Source organism: Homo sapiens, chromosome 1 (assembly GCF_000001405.40).
Source record: "Homo sapiens chromosome 1, GRCh38.p14 Primary Assembly".
Classification (NCBI taxonomy): domain Eukaryota; kingdom Metazoa; phylum Chordata; class Mammalia; order Primates; family Hominidae; genus Homo; species Homo sapiens.
The window spans coordinates 160,446,272-160,467,370 of NC_000001.11; the positions used below are offsets into that span (position 1 = coordinate 160,446,272).

Here is a 21,099-nt window from a genome sequence, read left to right on the forward strand (position 1 = left end):
CCCATCTCAACCTCCTGAGTAGCTGGGACTATAGGCGTGCACCATTTTACCCAGCTAATTTAAAAAGTTTTTTGGGGGCTAGGCACGGTGGCTCATGCCTGGAGAATAGCTTGAACTCAGGAGGCAGAGGCTGCAGTGAGCTGAGAATGTGCCACTGCGCTCCAGCCTGGGTGACGGAGCGAGACTCCATCTCAAAAAAAAAAAAATTTTTTTTTCTTTTGCAGAGATGGGGTCTCATTATGTTGCCCAGGCTGTCAGTCTCAGTATTTCTTTTCATTTTGATGTTTTATTAGTGTTTGGTTTCTTTTGAGTTTCTAGAATTGCATTGGGACTTACTGGGGGTTGTCAAGGTTTGTTTTTACACCAGTAAAGGATGAACCCAACAAGGTAATGGCCCAGAGATTAGATCCAGGCATCTGTGACATTATGGGCTGAGGGGATCTTAGGAAATTTTTGGAAGGGTGTAACTGAGTACTTTGCATTGAATTTTGGGAAGTCTGTTGCATTCTCTTAATTCACCCAACAGTACCAGCCAAACTATAATACAAAACTTGAGGTTCTTACCTGAAATATGAATGAGAGAACTATGCTATGCTTACATTTCTACATAACTTGCCTTCTTTCCACATGCCTATTTTTCGTTTTGTTTGGTTTTTAAACTAAACTGGTTGAAACTGAATCAGCACGGATTTTAAGCTTTCTTCTGGTCTCAGGTTTAAACTGAGTTTCCAGTCTTTGGTGCCTATTGCTAATGGGATGGTGGTGGGGTGTTTACGAGGGTGGGGCGGGGACCGTTGGCACAATCCATCCTGTTTCCACAGCAGATACCTCCCATTTCCTGTTTATTTTTTTAACGTTCTATATAGAAATAGTTTGTACAACTTCGAATAAAAAAAAAGAGTTTCAGGGTGGAAAAAACCAAGCCATCTGCAAGCCCTACTGAGGCAGAAATCCACCCTAGTCTGGGCAGCCTGTGGCTTTGTCTGAAAAGGGACCTTACACATTCAGAGCTTCTGTTCCTGGTATCCTCAAAGCCTTGGCTGACCTTGACTCCCTGGCACAACTGGCTCCCCTGGAAAGGTGGCTTGGGATTTGTGAGTTCAAGACTCTCAGTTTTGCACTAGGAGACTGGGGTTAGGAAGAGCATGCAGTTTAAATCTCTGTTCTGTTCACTAGACTTCATGAAAGCAGTGGTGGTTCTATCTTAACTCCTTTTGGCTGCTTTGCCTCCAATGTCTCCATGCTGATAATGTTGCTCTTGTGATGAATGATAACGGACTGATATGGACGTGTAAGAGAATAAGAATAGTGACAGTCATAGTGCTTGCATGGAATCTTCTGTTTTTTTCAAAGCATATTCACATAATTCTTCATTTGCACCTTTCTGAAACCATCTGAAGAAATGTGACAGAAGAGAATGGGACCCAGTAACAAAACTAACATTGATAAATTATTTATGAAGTGCCAGGCATTAAGCTAAGCTATATACAGTATTGACAACACTTTATTTATGTACATACATATTTACATACATTTCATAATAACTGTGTAATATAGGTACTGTTATCTACCTCTACTTTACACAAGATGAAATCGCTGACAAAAAATTGATTAATTGGGCCAAGGAGACATAGCTTATAAGTGTTGGGCTGGGATTCAAACGTGGTCTGCCATCTGCAGAGTCCAGTGTTTAACCACTAACAAGTGGAATCTAGGGTAAAGGGCACCTGTGTGGTATTATAACTCAGGTTAGAATCCAATTCGTTACCTTAGAACCTGGGTTTCCTGACTTTTATCCAGTGATTGTTTCTTGCTTTTTTCATTCTTTTATTGTGAAATATGTCATACACAGACTATATTGGATGAACACACACATTCAGTTTTTGTTGAACCATGCATGTGAAATTGTCAATATTTGCTCAGATTTGGCACGTAACAATAGCAACTTCATGATTTAATATACCATATTGTATTTTAATGAACTATATTAATTCATTCATATGCATATATATATATATACACACACACACACATATATATATATATATATTTTTTTTTTTTTTTTTGAGAAGGAGTCTTGCTCTGTCACCCAGGCTGGAGTGCAGTATGTGATCTCAGCTCACTGCAACCTCCATCTCCTGGGTTAAAGCGATTCTTGTGCCTCTGCCTCCCGAGTAGCTGGAATTACAGGCATGCGCTGCCATGTCTGGCTAATTTTTGTATTTTTAGTAGAGAGAGGGTTTCACCATGTTGGCCAGGCTGGTCTCAAACTCCTGACCTTAAGTGATCCACCCGCCTTGGCCTCCCAAAGTGCTGGGATTACAGGCATGAGCCACCATGCCCAGCCAATTCATTCATATTTAATGAACCTATTTAATGAACTACTATATCCTGGTTTAATGAACTAGTTTAAAGTTAAGCAAACCCTAATATAAGCAGCACACAGTTTAAAGAGTAGAGCATTGCCCTCTATGTGCCCCTCCTCCTCCTCCTTGCCCTCTGTAGATAATACTATGCTGACTTTTGTGATAATCATTTCTTTTCTTTGTAGTTTAACAACTGTGTTGGCATCCTTACAGAATATAGTTAGTTTTGCTTGTTTATGTCTTTATATAAATGGGTTATACTGCAAGTGTTCTTTTTCAAGTTGCTTTTTTCATTCAATATTAGGTTTATGAGATTTTCCAGACTGATGCATGCATTTATAGTTTTAATTAATTAATTGATTTTTATTTCAATAGCTTTGGGGGTACCAGTGCTTTTTAGTTACATGGATGAATTGTAGAGTGGTGAAGTCTGGGCTTTCAGTGTATCCATCACCCAAATTAGTGTACATTGTACCCAATAGATAATTTTTCATCCCTTATTCTCATCCCAACTTCCCCCTTTGTGAGTCTCCAATGTCCATTACACCACTCTCTTAGATTTCCAATCCATGAGCATGAGATGTTTGTTTGTGTCATCTATGATTTCTTTCAGCAGTGTTTTGTGGTTCTCCTTGTTGGTTAAGTATATTCCTAGGTATTTTTTTTTGCTAGCTATTGTAAATAGGATTGAGCTCCTGATATGATTCTCAGCTTGGTTGTGTTGGTGTATAGCAGTGTTATTGACTTGTATACATTAATTTTTGTAACCTTAAGATTTGATGAATTCATTTATCAGATCTAGAGATATTTTAAACAACTAAACTAGATCTACACTTGGATCCAGCAATTCCGCTACTGGGTGTCTACCCAGTAGGAAGGAAAATAAGTCATATTAATAAAGACACTTACACATGTATGTTTATTGCAACACAATTCATGATTGCAAAGATAAGGAATCAACCCAAGTGCCCATCAACCAATGAGTGGATAAAGAAAATGGTGTATATACATGCCACGGAATACTACTCAGCCATAAAAAAGAATGAAGTAATGTATTTTGAAAAAACTTGGATGGAATTGGAGGCCACTATCCTAAGCGAGGTAACTCAGGAACAGAAAACCAAATACTGCATGTTCTCACTTTTAAGTGGGAGCTAAGCTGTGGGTATGCATTTATAGGGTTTTTTTTGTTTGTTTTTTTGTTTTTGTTTTTTTTTTTGAGATGGAGTCTTGCTTTATTGCCAGGCTGGAGTGCAGTGGCACTATCTCGGCTCACTGCAACCTCTGCCTTCAAATGATTCTCCTGCCTCAGCCTCCCAAGTAGCTGGGACTACAGGCACATGCCACCACGCCCAGCTAATTTTCGTATTTTTAGTAGACACGAGGTTTCACCATATTGGCCAGGATGGTCTTGATCTCTTGACCTCGTGATCCGCCTACCTTGGCCTCCTAAAGTGCTAGGATTACAGGTGTGAACGACTGCGCCTGGCCTATAGTTTTTATTGTTGTTGTATGATATTCCGTTCTGTGAATAAATCACAGTGTACTTATTCATTCTACTGTTGAAGAGCATTTTGGTTGTTTCTGGGTTTTAGCTAATTAGCACAACACTCCCGTGAACATTCCTACATGTGTCTCCCGGTGCAGATGGCAGAAATCCCTCCAAGTCTAGTGTACATATTTATGGGTAGATTTACTGAGTGGAAGACAAAGCTAAACCATTTACACTAAATGACTCTGCACCCAGCAGGTACCAAGTTTCCATTGCTCCACATCCTCTCTTACACTTGGCGTTATTAATTTTAATGTGTTTGTCATCTAGGGGTGTGTAGTGATCCTTCGCTGTGATTTTAATGTACATTTCCTGGATTATTAAAGAGGGTGAACAATTTTACGTATCTTCAGTGATCATTTGGATTTCCTCTTTGCCCTTTGGGAAATGCTGTTCATGTGTCTCCCTCTCTCTCTCTCTCTGTGTGTGTGTGTGTGTGTGTGTGTGTGTGTGTTCACAGGAATTCATTACATGTTTCTGGATATTAGTCCTTTGTCAGTTACATATACTGTAAATATCTGCTCCCAGTTGTGGCTTGGTTTTTACTTTCTTTATGGTTTCTTTAAGTAAAAGGATTTTTAAAAATTTAATGTATGTGTATGATTAGTGCTTTTTATGTCTTGTTTAAGAAATCCTTTTTTATGCCAAGATCATGAAGATATTCTCCTATATTGCCTTTTAAAATCTTTGTATTTTTGTCTCTTACATTGAGGTCTTTCATACTCTTAGAATTGAGTTTTGTGTATGGCGTCAGGTAGTGGGAGGAGGTCTAGTTGTTCCAGTGTGATTTATTTTTAAAAATCCATTGTTTTCCTACTGATACGCATTGCTATCTTTGTTATGTATCAGTTTTCCGTGGCTTTTTCCAGTGGGGTAATCACTGTCCCCTGTTCACTTTTGAGAACAATTGATGATTAACTTTATGTACTTGTTCTCTCCTCCGTTTATTTTTTCTATGTGGTTATTTTACAGATGTAGTATCATGAAAACACTACAGTGTAATCAGTATTATCTCTTAACTTCCTTGATTTAACTCTAGTCAGACTACCCATTCATGCCTTGTAAGTCCCCTTGGATGCTGTGTCCCCATCGGTGGCCTCGTCCCAAGTCATGCAAATCAGAGCTGCGTGTTTGGTAACTGTTATGAATAGTTGACTCTCAGGCTTTGATACCTGGGGAGAAGAAGGAGAAAATTCAAGTCACTAAGCAAATAATTTGGGCAGTGAACTAAAGGAGTAGTACCTGCAGAAGTTGCATACTAAGCTGGAAGCAAGAGGTTCTCCATCCTTTCTTTAGCTATTTTTTGTGTGATCCTGTTCTCAGTTTTCTTATTTGTTGGGCTACATGAGCTACACTATCTCTTTCACTTCTAAAATTCAAATGAGACTCTGTCACCATCTTTCTGTGTGACTATATGTATCTAAATATCTTTTTGGTTTTCCTTTCCATAGCTCCAGTTTCTCTTACAGAGACTATTTAGAGTGAGTACTAAGTAAATATTTGATTTCTTCCTGCTTTGGGTAGAACAGCGCTGATGTATCTAAGGAGGAAATGGAAAAGAGGACTCTTAGTTGATGAGAGTTGATGAGAAGTTTATGAGAAAGGGCGAAGAGCCACCCAGTCTGCCCCTGGGGTCACTTTGAAGCTTAAAACAATACGTCTTCTTTGAACCTGTTTCCTCCACTAGCAAATGAGGATATCAATAGCTACCTCACTTTATAAACTTGTTGGGAAGATCACATCAGATATTATACCTGTAAATAATAAAGTATCTTTTAAATGGAAACAACTGTATAGGCATTCACTAGGCATCCACTCTGCCACATCTTATTTGCATAGCTTCTTAAGGTTTCAAAGACCTTTCACACACATCTCACTTGACTCTTACAACCTACCTACTAAGGAGGCAAAAATGACAAGGAATAGTTGTGTTTGTCCAGGGGCACACAATCAGAATTTTAGAACAGATATTACCAGCTGTCTCGTTTACCTTTCCTAATCCTCATTGTACAAATTAAAAAGCTCAGGTTCAGAGAAGTTAGAAGACTTGGCCAGGATCACACACAAGTACACTATCAGGGAACATGCCTTCTTGCATCTACTCCAGTATTCCTCCCATGATACCATGTTGTCTCTAAAGAAGTTCTGGACTGTGAAATGCTTGAGGACTGGGATCATAAATCCAGCCTTGGTAATTTTGTTTCCAGATTGTAATTTTCCAGGCACCTAGCATATTTGCTATCCTTGCATTTCTTTCTTTCTTTCTTTCTTTTTTTTTTTGAGACAGAGTCTCGCTCTGTCGCCTAGGCTGGAGTGCAGTGGCCCGATCTCAGCTCACTGCAACCTCCGCCTCCCGGGTTCAAGCGATTCTCCTGCTTTGGCCTCCTGAGTAGCTGGGATTACGGGGGCATACCACCACACCCGGCTAATTTTTGTATTTTTAGTAGAGACGGGTTTTCACCATGTTGGCCAGGCTGGTCTCAAACTCCTGACCTCAGGTGATCCACCCGCCTCGGCCTCCCAAAGTGCTGGGATGACAGGCATTAGCCACCGCGTCCGGCCTGTCCTTGCATTTCTTGGTGGTTTACAGGATTATGACTTCTCCTTCTGTCTTTTCACTCACCCAATGTAATACACAAGGATCAATCATGCAAGTTATTATCAACTTAGTAAAAAGTGAGTAAATTTGCTGAATAAGATATGTTTTTTTGAGACAGCATCTCACTCTATCGCCCAGGGTGGAGTGCAGTGGTGTGATCTTGGCTGACTGCAACCTCTGCCTCCCAGGTTCAAGCGATTCTCATGCCTCAGCCTCCCGAGTAGCTGGGACTACAGGCATGCGCCACCATGCCTGGCTAATTTTTGTGTTTTTAGTAGAAATGGGGTTTCACCATGTTGGCCAGGCTGGTCTCGAACTCCTGACCTCAAGTTATCCACCCACCTCGGCCTCCCAAAGTGCTGGGATTACAGGCGTAAGCCACCATGCCGGGCCAGAATAAGATATTATATACCAAAATGTAAATAATCTTAGTTTTAGTGATTTTGGTCTACTTTACCGATAGGGCCTCTTGACACGGTTGATATCAAAGTGCTGCCTTGAACGGTTTTATGCGGTCCCTTGGACTTTCCCATTGATGTCTCCTAACTTTTTACTCTGTTGCTCTTTGTCCTTTACCCAGAACATGCTCCATAGCCATCCACCAGTGCCAGCCCATCTTTGAATGCTGTACTCAATTCCCTTGGCCTTTGCTTCTGCTTTAAAGCTGGCAGGCTTCTTTTACTTATATCAGCTTTCTGTTTGAACCTCAAATGCTCAAAAATAATTCCTTTTAAACATTTCCTGCCACCTTTCTTGGATACTAATGTAGTTCTCAGAGTGTATGGGGGATTACTCATATAAAGCCTCAGTGCTTCAAAGTGAGGAATAACTGTGTAATAAATAGATCTGGCCGAGGATGAAATGAGTGTTAAACAAGACAGTCGCTGATATCACCGGACGTTGTCTAGCTAGGCTGGGTAACTACCCATCAGACGTGTTACAGAGGCATTTAAACAGGTGATGGGAGTTTAAGGTGGCCTTAAGAGCTTTCCGACACTAAAAATGTCGTGATTCTGTGTTAGCAAATTTACTAGCAGATTGACTGCTCTTCTACTTTTATGAGTCTCCTAAACTGAAAATGGGCATGAGGGATCTTTTTGGGATGGTGAAATGTTCTAATATTAGACTGTGGTGATGGTTGTCCAACTGGATACATTTACTAAATATCGTTGAACTGAATACTTCACACCAATGATTTCATGGTATGGGAATTATGCCTCAATAAATCTGTTTTTAGAAAGTCTCTTAAGACTATAACTGCCATATTTTGAAAACAATGTATTTATTTTAAAACATACATTATATAGGTTTAAAGTGTATGCTAATAATTTATACACTTTTAAGAGGCTAGATATTCAAATAAGAAGTTAAATTTAATACCTGGAAAATTATCTAGAATATATTAAAATGATGCACACTTAAACATGGATGTAAATCACTACCAAAGCTGTTGCCCTATTTTAAAAAATTATTTAGTTAGTTTTAAATTTACATACAGTAAAACTTATTCTTTGTGGTATATAGTTTCATGGATTTTTGCAAATGCATATAGTCCTGTGACCACCCTCACAATCAAGATGCAGAACAGTTTCATCACCCTCAAAAATTCCCTTGTGCTACCAATTTGTAGTCATCCTCTCTCCCCACCTGCAACTCTGGCAACCACTGATGACTTCTCCGTCATTATAGTTTTGCCTTTTCAATGACATTATACAATATATACAGTTTGAAGAGAGATTTTCAAACTTAAAATTTATTCATTTTAATAGTTGAATTATGAAAATAATGGTTATTTTGGGGTTGGAGGGATTTCCCTGCTGGTAACTAGTCAGATGAAGAAGAGTGAGGTAGACGGAGGCAGTATAAGACTAGCCTGAATTCAGTCACACTTGTAGAATCACAGGTGGTTAGACTTGGAAGGGTTTTTGGAGTCATTTAGCTAACATCCCAATATGAAGAAACTGAGGTCCAGAGGGAAGAATGAGTCTCAAACTTGCGCAACTGTGTGGAGCTGGCCTAGCCCTCAATTTCCCAATAGTCAACTTCAGTATGCTTTCAACTACTATACGCCCTGATTCGTACTATCAGTTTTGCCTGACTCTGAGTTCTAGCACAAATTCTTCCCCTTTGAAATTCCTCTGCCACATCCCTGATTGCTGATGATCAAAACAATACTTGATATTTATCACTAGCACTGGAAAAAAGGACAATTTCTGAACTATCATCTCATTAAGTTATGATTCCTGACTCTTTGCATCATGAAACCATAACTCATTCACGACTCTTAACTCATCATTACTGGATGGGTGTTCATTCTGTTATAGGCAAAATGCCCAAGAGAAAATATACAATCCAGAATTAAGTCATTTTGAAAGGCAAGAACTGGAAAGACCATTAGAAATAACTTGAGGTGGTTTTTAGGCATCCTTAGGCATCTCCAAAGTTCCCACTGGGAGCACCTCAGGAGAGGGGTAAGGAAAAGGCTCAGTGGTAGCTGTGCCACCTCCTCTGATAAAACCATTTGTGATCACTTTCATTCTTCCTGAAAGGCTTCCTGTAACATTTCTTACAGCGCTGATATGCTTGTGGTGAATTCTTTCAGCTTCTGTATGTCTACAAAAGTCTTTATTTTACCTTTTTTTTTAAGGTTATTTTCACTGAGTATAGGATTTTATGTTGACAGGTGTGTGTGTGTGTGTGTGTGTTTCCCTCCTTGCTTTTAAGATGTTGCTCCAGTGTCTTCTGGCTTGCATTGAGAAGTCTCTTTTTTTTTTTTTTTCCCCCAAGACTGAGTTTCGCTCTTGTCGCCCAGGCTGGAGTGCAATGGCCTGATCTCAGCTCACTGCAACCTCCCCCTCCCAGGCTCAAGTGATTCTCCAGCCTAATCCTCCCTAGTAGCTGACATTACAAGTGCCCCCCACCATGCCCGGCTAATTTTTGTATTTTTAGTAGAGATGGAGTTTCGCCATGTTGGCCAGGCTGGCCTTGAACTCCTGACCTCAGGTGATCCACCCACCTTGGCCTTCCAAAGTGCTGGGATTACAGGCGTGAGCCACCGCGCCCAGCCAAGAAGTCTGCTTTCATTTTTACCTTTCTTCCTTTGTACATATTGTGTCTTTTTTCTCTGTCTGCTTTTAAATTTTTGTTTTTATTAATGGTTTTAAGTAATTTGATTATGATGTTCCTTGGCATACTTCTCTTAAATTTCTTATGATTGGGATTTAGTGAGCTTCTTGGTTATAAGAATTTATAGTTTCACCAAATTTGGAATATTCGGTGACTATTTCAATTTTTTCCTCCCTTCCTTCTACTTAAAAAATTAAAAGATATTTTAAATTGAAGCAGCCATGAAAGTACATGTCAGGCCTTTTATTTTGGGCAGTTGATTGGTGACTCCAGCAGCTGTTCTCTGACTCTACCTTGTATTTCCACTGAAGCCAGACTTTTAATGGGCTGCTCCTAACCAATGATTAAATGTGGTACAAATGTGAATGCAGACCTTTTTCTGCAAGATGCAGACTCTTCTGATGGGTGACTTTGACTTGAGGACTCCCCATCAGCCTGGCTGACACTTTTATTTTTTTGAGTCAGAGTCTCACTCTGTCACCCATGCTGGAGTGCAGTGGCATGATCAGGACTCACTGCAACCTTGACGTTCCAGGCTGAAGCGATCCTCCCACCTCAGCACTGCCAGCCCCCACTCACCCTGCTGCACCGCCCCTTGAGTAGCTGGCACTATAGGCATGTGCCACCATGCCCTGCTATTTTTTTTGAATTTTAGTAGAGATGAGGTCTCACTGTGTAACCCAGGCTGGTCTGGAACTCCTGAGCTCAAGTGATCCTTCTGTCTTGGCCTCCCAAAGTGCTGTGATTACTTACAGGCGTGAGCCACTGCACCTGGCCTGAAACTATCTTAGAACAGTGCAGAAGTCTGAGACTATTCTTACTTAATCCTTCTTCCTTTCCTCTCTTTTTCCCAGGGTTCGCATCTACATGGTCTAAGGAGTTTCCCTATCATCTCCATCTCTATCTTCTTTTTCCTTCACAGCCATCTCCCCCAATAAATCTTTGGCATCTGCTTCCTGGAGGATCTGAGCTAACACGTTTATTATTACCATTATTTTATTTTTATTTCCCATCAGTATAAGATTTCACTTAAATAAAAGGTGGCTCACACCTGTAATCCAGCACTTTGGGAGGCCGAGGCGGGTGGATCACCAGAGGTCAGGAGTTTGAGACCAGCCTGGCCAACATGGTGAAACTCCATCTCTACAAAAAAATACAAAAATTAGCCAGGTGTGGTGGCACGCGCCTGTAATCTCAGCTACTCGGGAGGCTGAGGCAGGAGAATTGCTGGAACCCAGGAGGTAGAGGTTGTGATGAGCTGAGATCACACCATTGCACTCCAGCCTGGGCTGATAACAGCAAGACTCTGTCTCAAAATAATAATAATAATAAATAAAATAAAATAAAAAGAAAAGATTCCATATCTAAAAGTGTTTGAGAACTGGTGATCTATTTTTTACCATGTTATAGTTGAGGGACTGAAGCTTGGAGATCTCTTTTGGATACTAAGTTTCCAAACTGAAATCAACCTAAATTATGACAATAGTCAAGTCATAAAGGCTTGTTCTTTTTTTCTGGGGTCTTGAGGCCCTGGACCAAAATTCGGCACCAATGTCCTAATCATGACATTACTACTAACTTCTTTATAGTACATGACAAGCTACTTACCTTCTCTAATCTTATTAAAGGGCTTGGGTTAGCTTATCTATACAGACTTTTTAACTCTAAAATGTAACTTTATAGGTGAGAAAACTTAAATAATTTACCTGACCAACTATCCAAAAACTTGTTAGAGAAAGACTGTATGGATTGGATTTTTTTCTCTAATAGCCAATACAATGCTCAAGACTTTTTCTTGTATTGAACTGTCTTTGGGAAAATATCCTGATAAACCACTCATGGCAAAAGATGTGGCCATGGACTTCAGGAACCAATAGAGTTTTTAAAAAATGGCTGAATTGTTCTGCATAAGCAGAGGAAGGAAGGAATTTGGTTTTGATCCTAGGAGGAAACAGGAAAGGGAAGGAGGAAGGAGCAAAGCCTTAAGAGGGTATAAAACCAGAGAGGTACATGGAGTGAAAATCCCTGGGGATAGAATGGAAAAAGGGGCTTTTAAGGTTAGAGATACCCAACGTTTAATTGGAAACTTTTTGCTGTATTATTGAGGTTTCTGGTGTTTGAAAGTAACATAAACCCAGTTCCAAGAAGCTTATACAAAAAAGGGATCTTAGTGGCTCACAACATTTGGAAAGATTCCAGGATTGTTTGCTGCATCCAAGGAAGAATTATAGAAACTAAAGCGGCAGACACCGTACAGAAACTTGAATTAACGCTGCCAAATCTCTTTCTCTCCCTCACTCCATCCTTTCCTTTCCTATCTTTCTCATCTCTGCTTAACTCTGTTTCCCTTTCCATGTTGACCTCACATTTTCCTATGACAGAAAGGACTTTGCCATGTGAAAGAGACAGAAAGGAGACATGGTTGCAGCCAGACTCAGCTCAGCAACCATAGAGAGCTTTTTTCTCTAAGTATCCATATAACAATTCCAAGGATGTGTTATAATTGTCCCGGCTTGGATTACATGTCCATCCCTTGTCAATGCCAGGGAAATAGAGCACCATGATTATCCCACACAGGTCATGTACCTCTGTTTTTGCCTGGGGCTAAGGGTCTTTAATGAGAAGAAAGGAGGTGGAAATTCTTGATGGGAAGATAAAATGATAGTTGCCACTTTGTGTTGCTTCAGTGTAAACCAATGCCTCTTTCAAAAACATTCAGTATAACCAGAATGTTCCATCCATGCAGCAGCCTTGTGTACATCGGGCTGTTTAGGTGAAAATTATGGCAAGGATGCTGGGCCTTGCCTAGGTTTAAGGTGGTAACAAATAAGGAAACACCCACAAGGGGTCAAATGACCTGTAATCTGAACTAATTCAACTGAATCAGGAATTTGGAGCCAGAGGTGACCATGGGAGCCATGTCAGGAAAGGATGTGGAATAGAGGCTTAAGTGCAGCTTATATGCCTTTGTGACCAGGAATGGAGCAGATGTACAATTGCTGGCTAGTTTTCCCATGGGGTATATTTTAGGTTCTTCAAAGATTCCTTTGCTGGGAACTTTTAACTGTAATTCCTGTGAGGTAGGTGGTGCTTCTTATGTGACTGGCTGGTTTTCACTTCAACTTCCGGGACTGAGCTTCCCAGAGTTGGTTATGGTTATCACTCTATAATGAGCTTTCAAACAGACTCCTGGCCAACTCTGACTTGGAAAGTCTATGTGTGGTCTTGGGAAACACTTCTGCATTGTTTTCCTACCATCTGTAGATGGTCAGTCCTCATTCTTTCTCTGCTGTGTGGCCTCAGGCACATCTATCAACAGCCTGTCTTCACATTCCTTATATATGCCAAACTCCAGAGGACAAATGTCACTCTGAGTGATCTTCCACTTATGGTCCTGTTGAAGCTCATTCAGCTGGCTTGAAGTGAAGGGAAAGTCTCCCTTCCCCATGGAAGGGCGCCCCCCCTTCCCCATAGTAGCACAGCATTCCAATGACTCTTTATGGAGAAATCCTCTCCCCTCCTTCTCTTCAACTTCGACTCCTGATATGGGTGATGTGCCAAGAGCCACAAAGCCAGCTTTTGGTCATCTCCTTTGTCAATCCCTGAAAAAGTGGGCAAGCTTTGTAATGTGGGGAGAGCTTAGCATCTATTGTTTTGTTTTGTTTTGAAAGCAACCACACCAAGGCTAACTGATTTTTGGAGCCTGGGCTCAAACTAAACAAGAAAGAATCTCATTTTAAATCCTTTTACACATGCATTATCTCACGTAATCGTTTAGGTATATTGGTCCCATTTTACACATGGGAAAACAGGCTTAGAGAGGTCAAGTGATTTGTTCAAGGTCTCATGGTAAGTGGCAGAAAAATCTAAACCCAGATTTTTTCTGACTCCAAAGTTAGTGCTCGTTCCACTTTGAAACTGTTAATTGATTACCAGAGTCCTGAGTCTTTTGGTTAATGCTCTGAGTTGGCATGGGGAGTCTTGTTCAAGCACTGGTACCTCTGACTCACGACTGTGTTCTTAGTCCATTCACCTCTGCACCTAAATTTTCCTTTATGTAAGTGTGTCACATAAGAATAATAATAATACTTTTTTTCCCTGCTTCCCAACAGAACTGTGTTGATAATGAGGTTTGAAGGTGGGTGGGTAGGAAAAATTTGTTAGAACTAAAAATGTTTAAACACCCACTACTATATGCCAGGCAGGCTCTGTGATAGGCTTTTTACAGACACTATTTAATTTAATCAAAGTTGACTAAAAAATATTTAGCAACTGGTCCAGCGCAGTTGCTGGCCAATCACAATGATGCTGGCTACTGACTGTCAAACTGTGCCAGGGAGACTGCTGGAAGAGGGGGTGCAAAGCACACAGGGCCAGCCAGCCAGCCAGCAAGGAGTGGCCAGCGTTACTCTCAGAGCGCCCCACGACAAAGTTCCTGCTCTTTTTAGTTATTTGAACACTTCAGAAGAAAGCAGCCACACCAAGGATAGCTATTATTATTCTCAGAGGTAGTTACTCAGAAGTTATTTGGATAAGGGTAAACAAGGCTAAGAAGTTTCATTTTTAGGGTTCCGCTTTCAAAGGAACACCGTTTTGCTCCTTTCTCTTATTTGTCTCTTTCTCATGCTGCTGGTGGACCAATGTCAAAATCTTGTGCTCAAAACCTTACTTCCTGTCCTTGTAGTAGCAATTCCCAATGGAGAAACATTTAAAGCACTGAAAGCAACACTCAAAAGAAGGAAAGAAAGGATAGAAAGGGAGGCGTGGGGGAAGATCATGAGGAAGGAAGGAAAAAAGAAGGAAAGAGAAATAAAATCAAAGAAGGAAGAAACAGTTCAGACCAGTTTGCAGATTTAGAAGTCATTTCTGGCTCCCTAACAGTTTTCATCCTCAGAGTGCTTTCAGGCCACCAACATGTTCACGCAATACTGGGCCGTGATCATCATGACCCAGGAGGGGAGGTAAGAGTGAAAGGTGGAGTCGACATTTACTGTGGAAAAACCAAGGACAAACAGGAAGAATTAAAACAGGAAATGACTCATGAACAATGGAAGGGGTGCTCCCCTCACTTTTATTATCCCCCTCAGAGAGAAAGAGTTTCCACTAGCTTTGTTTTTGGGAGTTTTTCTTCAACAACAACTCTAACTCTAACCCTCCTAACCCCCTTCTTTGAGGGAGACTCAGTTTTTCCAAAGTTGCAACACACTTCTCTACCCTCTTCTTTCACCCCAGCTTCTCATGAGGCATCTTAACACTGAATATTGTGTTCAATATATGCTTTTGAAGAAAACAGAGGAAAACGCAAAGATTAGTAAATGGATTATTTGAAAAAAACCATGGCAGCTGTTTCAAATTTTAGGGATGTTGGTAAAACTCATCTGAGAAGTAGAAGGCTATTGGGTTTAGACAAACTCCTTAACGGGCCACTTTGTTCAGATCTAGGCCCCATAGCATGTTCTGAAAAGAGATATACTGTGAGTAAAAATAGTTTAAATTGGTCTGTGTACTGGAGTCTGGAGTGACAGGTGTGTTTCAGTTTTTTCCTGGAAGAGTGGGGGAGTTTTGTGCTGGTAAACGTTTAACAATCACCTCTCCAATAACAACAACAACCAAACAATACAAAGTACTCTAAAACTCTGATTTGTAGCACTTGTCCATTTCTGTGGTAGCATTTCCATCAAGTCACTGAGTTAGGAAAAGATGTGCACCATTATATAGTGTTTCCTCTATGTGTGTGCAGTAGATGTAAATCCTCTCAAGAGCATAGAATAGTAAAGGATAGTAAAATAATTAAGAAGTGATGCATTTGAGTACTTACTACCCTTTTAAAAATATATAATTTATTTAAATATCAGCATTTAGTTACTGACGGGATGCTTAACAGCTAACTTGCAGAAATCCTGAAATTTTAGCTATTGACTCATGTGACTAGATTTGGGGGTCTGGAACCTGGAGAAAAGGAGAGTGAGACCCAGTAGGCTCCCGGGAAGGGTACATGCTGGGGCCTAAGGAAAATAGTACCCAAAGAGAAAGTTCCTGTGCAGGGATGACCAAAGGAATTTGAGGACAGTGATTTAAATAACTTTTATTTATTTATTTGTTTGTTTATTTTTGAGATGGAATCTCACTCTGTTACCCAGGCTGGAGTGCAATGGCGCTATCTCGGATCTCTGCAGCCTCCACCTCCTGGATTCAAGTGATTCTCCTGCCTCAGCCTCCCGAGTAGCTGGGATTACAGGCACGTGCTACAATGCCTAGCTAATTTTTGTATTTTTAGTAGAGATGGGGGTCTCACCATGTTGGCCAGGCTGGTCTTGAACTCCTGACCTCAGGAGATCCACCTGCCTTGGCGTCCCAATGTGCTGGGATTACAGGCGTGAGCCACCACGCCCAGCCAATAACTCAATTTTAATCTGTTTCCTAGTCTGTCCTCTGCTGTAGTCTCCTGCCCTTATCCTCAAATCGTCAGGCTTGTGTTGGTGTTCTTTTGATGGCTGGGTCCATGCTTCTGATGAAGCAGCATGGAGAGAAACATGGTTCTAGAAAGTGAGGTGATAACAGGGACTGGAAATTATATGGGAGCAGCAACATGGATGAGAGGCTACCAGCAGAATATAAGCACTGCTCCCTTCCCACCCATCCAGCAATCCTCACAGATGGAGGTCTCCAACTGGGTGTGGGAAGGTGCGGGAGGTATTTTATTTAAATGTTGAAGGAAAGGGTGACCTCAGAAGGCTAGAAGACCTAGAAACATTTTGTTTAAATATTTAATATTAAAAATGGTTTAAATGACTAAGAGTGACCCAAAGAGATAAGGTTTGATTATTTCATTTGGATATTGGACAAATGAAGAGTGGTTCTAGTCACTTTTCCATCCCCATTCCTCCCTTGGCAACAGGGCTGGTATGGCAATATGTACAAAAACTGAGCCCAAAAGTTGTGCCTGTAAAATTATTACAGAAATTGCCCCGGACTTCCAGAAATTGTAGACATTCAGATTCCCTGGCCAGGAGAAACAGTAAGTAAATAAGAGCGTATCTGCTAAGGTGGCCACCACCATTCCTTTGTCCTAAAGCTCTGTAGGAGAAGTCCTTGGGTGGTCTTTCAGAGCCTACCAACTCTTATTCATATAGAATCCAGGTTATTGTATTCTCACACCACAGAAAAAAGGAAACAGCTGGTTACAAAGTACTGGCATTATAAGAGACAGACTCTATGACAAAAGAAGTAACTACTGTTGTCCTGATAGGGAAAACCTAATAAGATACAAACACAATTCATCAAGAAATGGTGAAATAAGTTATTGTCATCTATTTAAGAAGGGAGATGTTAATAAAACAGTCTAGGCAGATTTTCATAAAAACTGTTTACAACAAAAAGATGTTACTTGGAGAAGTAAACTTTAGCTATCTTAAAAAATGCATTAATGTAAATCATTTTGTTCCTTAAGGATGCTGGATACATGCAGATTTGCTATCTAATTTTTACATTTGAGTTTTAGAAAGCCATCTGCAACCACTTTCCTAAATTATCAGAGTTGTCAGAATATTAACCGGAAGCTTAAATTATACCTCTGGCTACACTTTTCCACTTACTGTTCTGTTTTCATCTCATTCTCAACTTATTTATAACCAAACTTGTAAAGTCACCCAAACTAACCTCCTATCCACACTACCAAGTTTCCATTTTTGCACCACAATCACCAAGCCTGAAGCTTTGGATTCATCTTTGAACAACCTTCTTATTTCCTGTGTGCAATCAGTTTCAGCGTTTTGTCAATGCTTCTTTGGTTGCTCTTTTCCTCCATTTTTATTCCCCTGATTAACTTCATATTACCTTATACCCAAGTTATTCCATAGATCTCTAATTGTAATGGTCTCCAGCTTCCTGGGCTCTTTCTCCAGACTATCTTATTAACACACATCCATTACATTGGCTTTGGAAATCCAATTCTTTCTATGGTGTGCTGACTGAAAGAGTGAAATTTGCTTTTAGACCTGGATTTTGTTCCAGCGCTACTTCTTTCTCTTGTGGAAACTTGGGCAAGTCATTTAGCTTCTAAGCCTCCATTTCTTCAGCTGTAAAATGGAAATAATAATAGTGCGTAAACCGCAGAGCTGTTGTGAGGATAAAATGAGGTGTTTTTTTTGTATATGATATGATTCATATTCTTCTTACATTCTTCTATATTTCCCAAATTCCTTTTCATGATGATGAATTACTTTAAAAATATAAATAAAAATATTTATGGGGTACATTGTGATGTGTAATGATGAGATCATGATAATTAGAATATCCATCGTCTTAAAAATTTGTAATTTCTTTGTTTTGGGAACATTCAATATTCTTCTTCTAGCTATTTGAAACTATATAATATATAGTTGTTAATTGTAATCATCCTACAGTGGTACAGAACACTAGAATTTAGTCTAGCTGTAATTATGTATTCTTTAACAAATCTCTCCTTACTCTCCCCTTGCCTTACCCTTTCTAGTCTCTAATATCCTCTGCTCTACTTTTTACTTCTTTCAGATCAACGTTTTTCAGCTTCCTCATTTGAATGAGAACATGTAATGTTTAACTTTCTGTTCCTGGCTTATTTCTCTTAAAATAATGATCTCCAGTTCTATCTATGTTGCCATGAATGACAGGATTTTATTCTTTTTTTATGACTGAATATTATTCCATTGTGTGTATATACCACATTTTCTCTATCCACTTATCTTTTATTGAATACCTAGTTTGATTCCATATCTTGGCTATTGTGAATAGTTTGATTCCATATCTTGGCTCTTGTGAATAGTACTGCAATAAATGTGGGACACAGATGTCTCTTTGATCTACTGATTTCCTTTCTTTTACATAAATGCCTCATAGTAGGATTGCAGGATCATAAGGCAGTTCTATTTGTAGCTTTTATTTGTCTTTTTTTTTATTTTTTAGGGATGGTATCTCACTCTGTCACCCAAGCTAGAGTGCAGTGATGTGATCATAGCTCACTACAGCCTCGAACTCCTGGGCTCAAGCAATCCTTCCATCTCAGCTTCCCAAGTAGCTAGGGCTACAGTGCACCACCACACCCAGCTAATTTTTGAAAGCTTTTTGTAGAGAGGCGGTCTTGCTATGTTGCCCAGGCTGGTCTTAAACTCCTGTCCTCAAGCAATCCTCCTGCCTTGGCCTTCCAAAGTGCTAGGATTTCAGGCATGAGTCATTGTGCCTGGGCTTATTCTATCTGTATTTTCTTTAGGAACCTCCCTGCTGTTCTCCACAGTGGTTGTACTAATTTACATTCCCACCAACAGTATATGAGAGTTCCTTTTTCTCTGCATCCTCTCCAACATTTATTTTTTGTCTTTTTGATAATAGCCATGCTAAGTGGAGTGAGATGATACCTCACTGTGGTTTTGATTTGCATTTCCCTGATGGTTAGTGATGGTGAGCATTTAAACACGTATTTCAGCCAGACACGGTGGCTCATGCCTGTAATCCTGGCACTCTGGGAGGCCGAAGCTGGCGGATAACGAAGTCGGGAGATGGAGACCATCCTGGCCAACATGGTGAAACCCTGGACCTGCTAAAAATACAAAAATTAGCCTGGTATGGTGGTGCACACTTGTAGTCCCAGCTACCCGGGAGGCGAAGGTTGCAGTTAGCTGAGATCGCGCCATTGCACTCCAGCCTGGTGATAGGGTGAGACTCTGTCTCAAAACAAAACAAAAACAAAAACAAAAACAAAACACACATATGTGTTGGTCATTTGTATGTCTTCTTTGGAAAAGGACTGCTTGAATCATTTGCCCATTTTAATCAAATTGTGGGTTTTTGAGATTTTTGCTGTTGAGATGTTTGAGTACCTTGTATATTCTGGATATTAATCCCCTGTCAGATGAATACTTTACAAATATTTTCTCCCATCCTATATATTGTCTTTTCACTCTGTTGATTGTTTCCTTTGCTGTGAAGAAGCTTTTCAGTTTGATATAATCCCATTTCAAAATTTTTGCTTTTGTTGCCTGTGGTTTGGAGGTCTTATTCATACAATTTTTTCTCAAACTGATGTCCAGAAGTATTTCCTCTATGTTTTTTTTTCTAGTAGTTTTATGGTTTCAGGTCTTGCATTTAGGTCTTTGATTCATTTTGAGTTAATTTTTGTACAGGGTGAGAGGTGGGGGTCTAATTTCATTCTTTTGCATAAGTATATTCAGTCTTTCTAACACCATTTATTGAAGAGACTGTAGTTTCCCCAGTGAGTATTCTTGGAGGCTTTGTCAAAAATCAGTTAGCTATAGATATGCAGATTAATTTCTGGGTTCTTTATCCTGTTCCATTAGCCCATGTGTCTTTTTTTTTTTTTTTTTTTTTTTTTAAATGACAGCACCATGCTATTTTGGTTTCTATAGCTTTGTGGTATATTTTGAAGTCTGGTAGTGTGATGACTACAGCTTTGCATTTTTCCCCCTTCTTCAGGATTGCTTTGGCTATTCAGGATTTTTGTACTTCCATATGAATTTTAAGATTTCTTTTTTTAATTTCTGTGAAGAATGTCATTGGTATTTTGTTAGGAATTACATTGAATCTGTAGATTGCTTTGGGTTGTATAGTCATTTTAACAACATTAATTCTTCTGATTAATGAGCATGGGATGTCTTTCCATTTGTTTGTATCCTCTTCAATTTTTTTTCATCAGTGTTTTTTTATTTTTTTTCCTAAGACAGGGTCTTGCTCTGTTGCCCAGGTTGGAGTGCAGTATGCAATTTCAGCTCACTGCAGCCTCGACATCCCAGGCTCAATTGATCCTCCCACCTCAACTTCCTGAGTAGCTGGGACTACAAGCATGCACCACTACCCTCAGCTAATTTTTCTATTTTTTTGGTAGAGATGGGGTTTTGCCATGTTGCCCAGGCTGGTCTCAAACACCTGAGTTCAATTGATCCTCCCATCCCTGACCCCCAAAGTGCTGTAACTATAGGTGTGAGCCACGGCCCTTGGCAGTCATCAGTGTTTTGCAGTTTTCCTTGTAGAGGTTTTTTACCTCCTTGGTTAAATTTATTCCTAGGTTGTTTTTTTTTTTTTTTTTTGTAGCTATTGTAAATAAAATCATGTCATCTGCAAAGAGGAACAATTTGACTTCTTTCCAGTTTGGATGCCCTTTATTTTCTTCTTAAATGCTCTGGCCAGGACTTCTGACATGAGGCGATGTATACGCAATCTTGGCACACAGTGGCTTCCCCCATCTTACTCACCACTCCTGGTCAGACTCCTTTTTCATATCCTATTTGGGGGCAGCAGTCTGCTTTAGCTCTTCCCCTTTCAGTCTATGCTCACATGTAAATAATCTCATTTATTGTGCCTTTAAATATCACCTATATGTTGGTGATTGTAAGATGTAAGTTATCTATTCCCACTGGCATTTTTGGGTTGCTGGCTTCTTCAGCTCCAAGTTTGGGGTATATGAA

At 40.0% G+C, this 21,099-nt stretch overlaps 2 annotated features.

The window, feature by feature from the left end:
* Positions 7,122 to 7,171: an enhancer, noted in NCBI's record as "active region_1924". NCBI's record gives its function as "activates an Ori minimal core promoter by ATAC-STARR-seq in GM12878 lymphoblastoid cells {active_cell/tissue: GM12878}" and the evidence as "EXISTENCE:reporter gene assay evidence [ECO:0000049][PMID:35858748]".
* Positions 20,816 to 20,865: an enhancer, noted in NCBI's record as "active region_1925". NCBI's record gives its function as "activates an Ori minimal core promoter by ATAC-STARR-seq in GM12878 lymphoblastoid cells {active_cell/tissue: GM12878}" and the evidence as "EXISTENCE:reporter gene assay evidence [ECO:0000049][PMID:35858748]".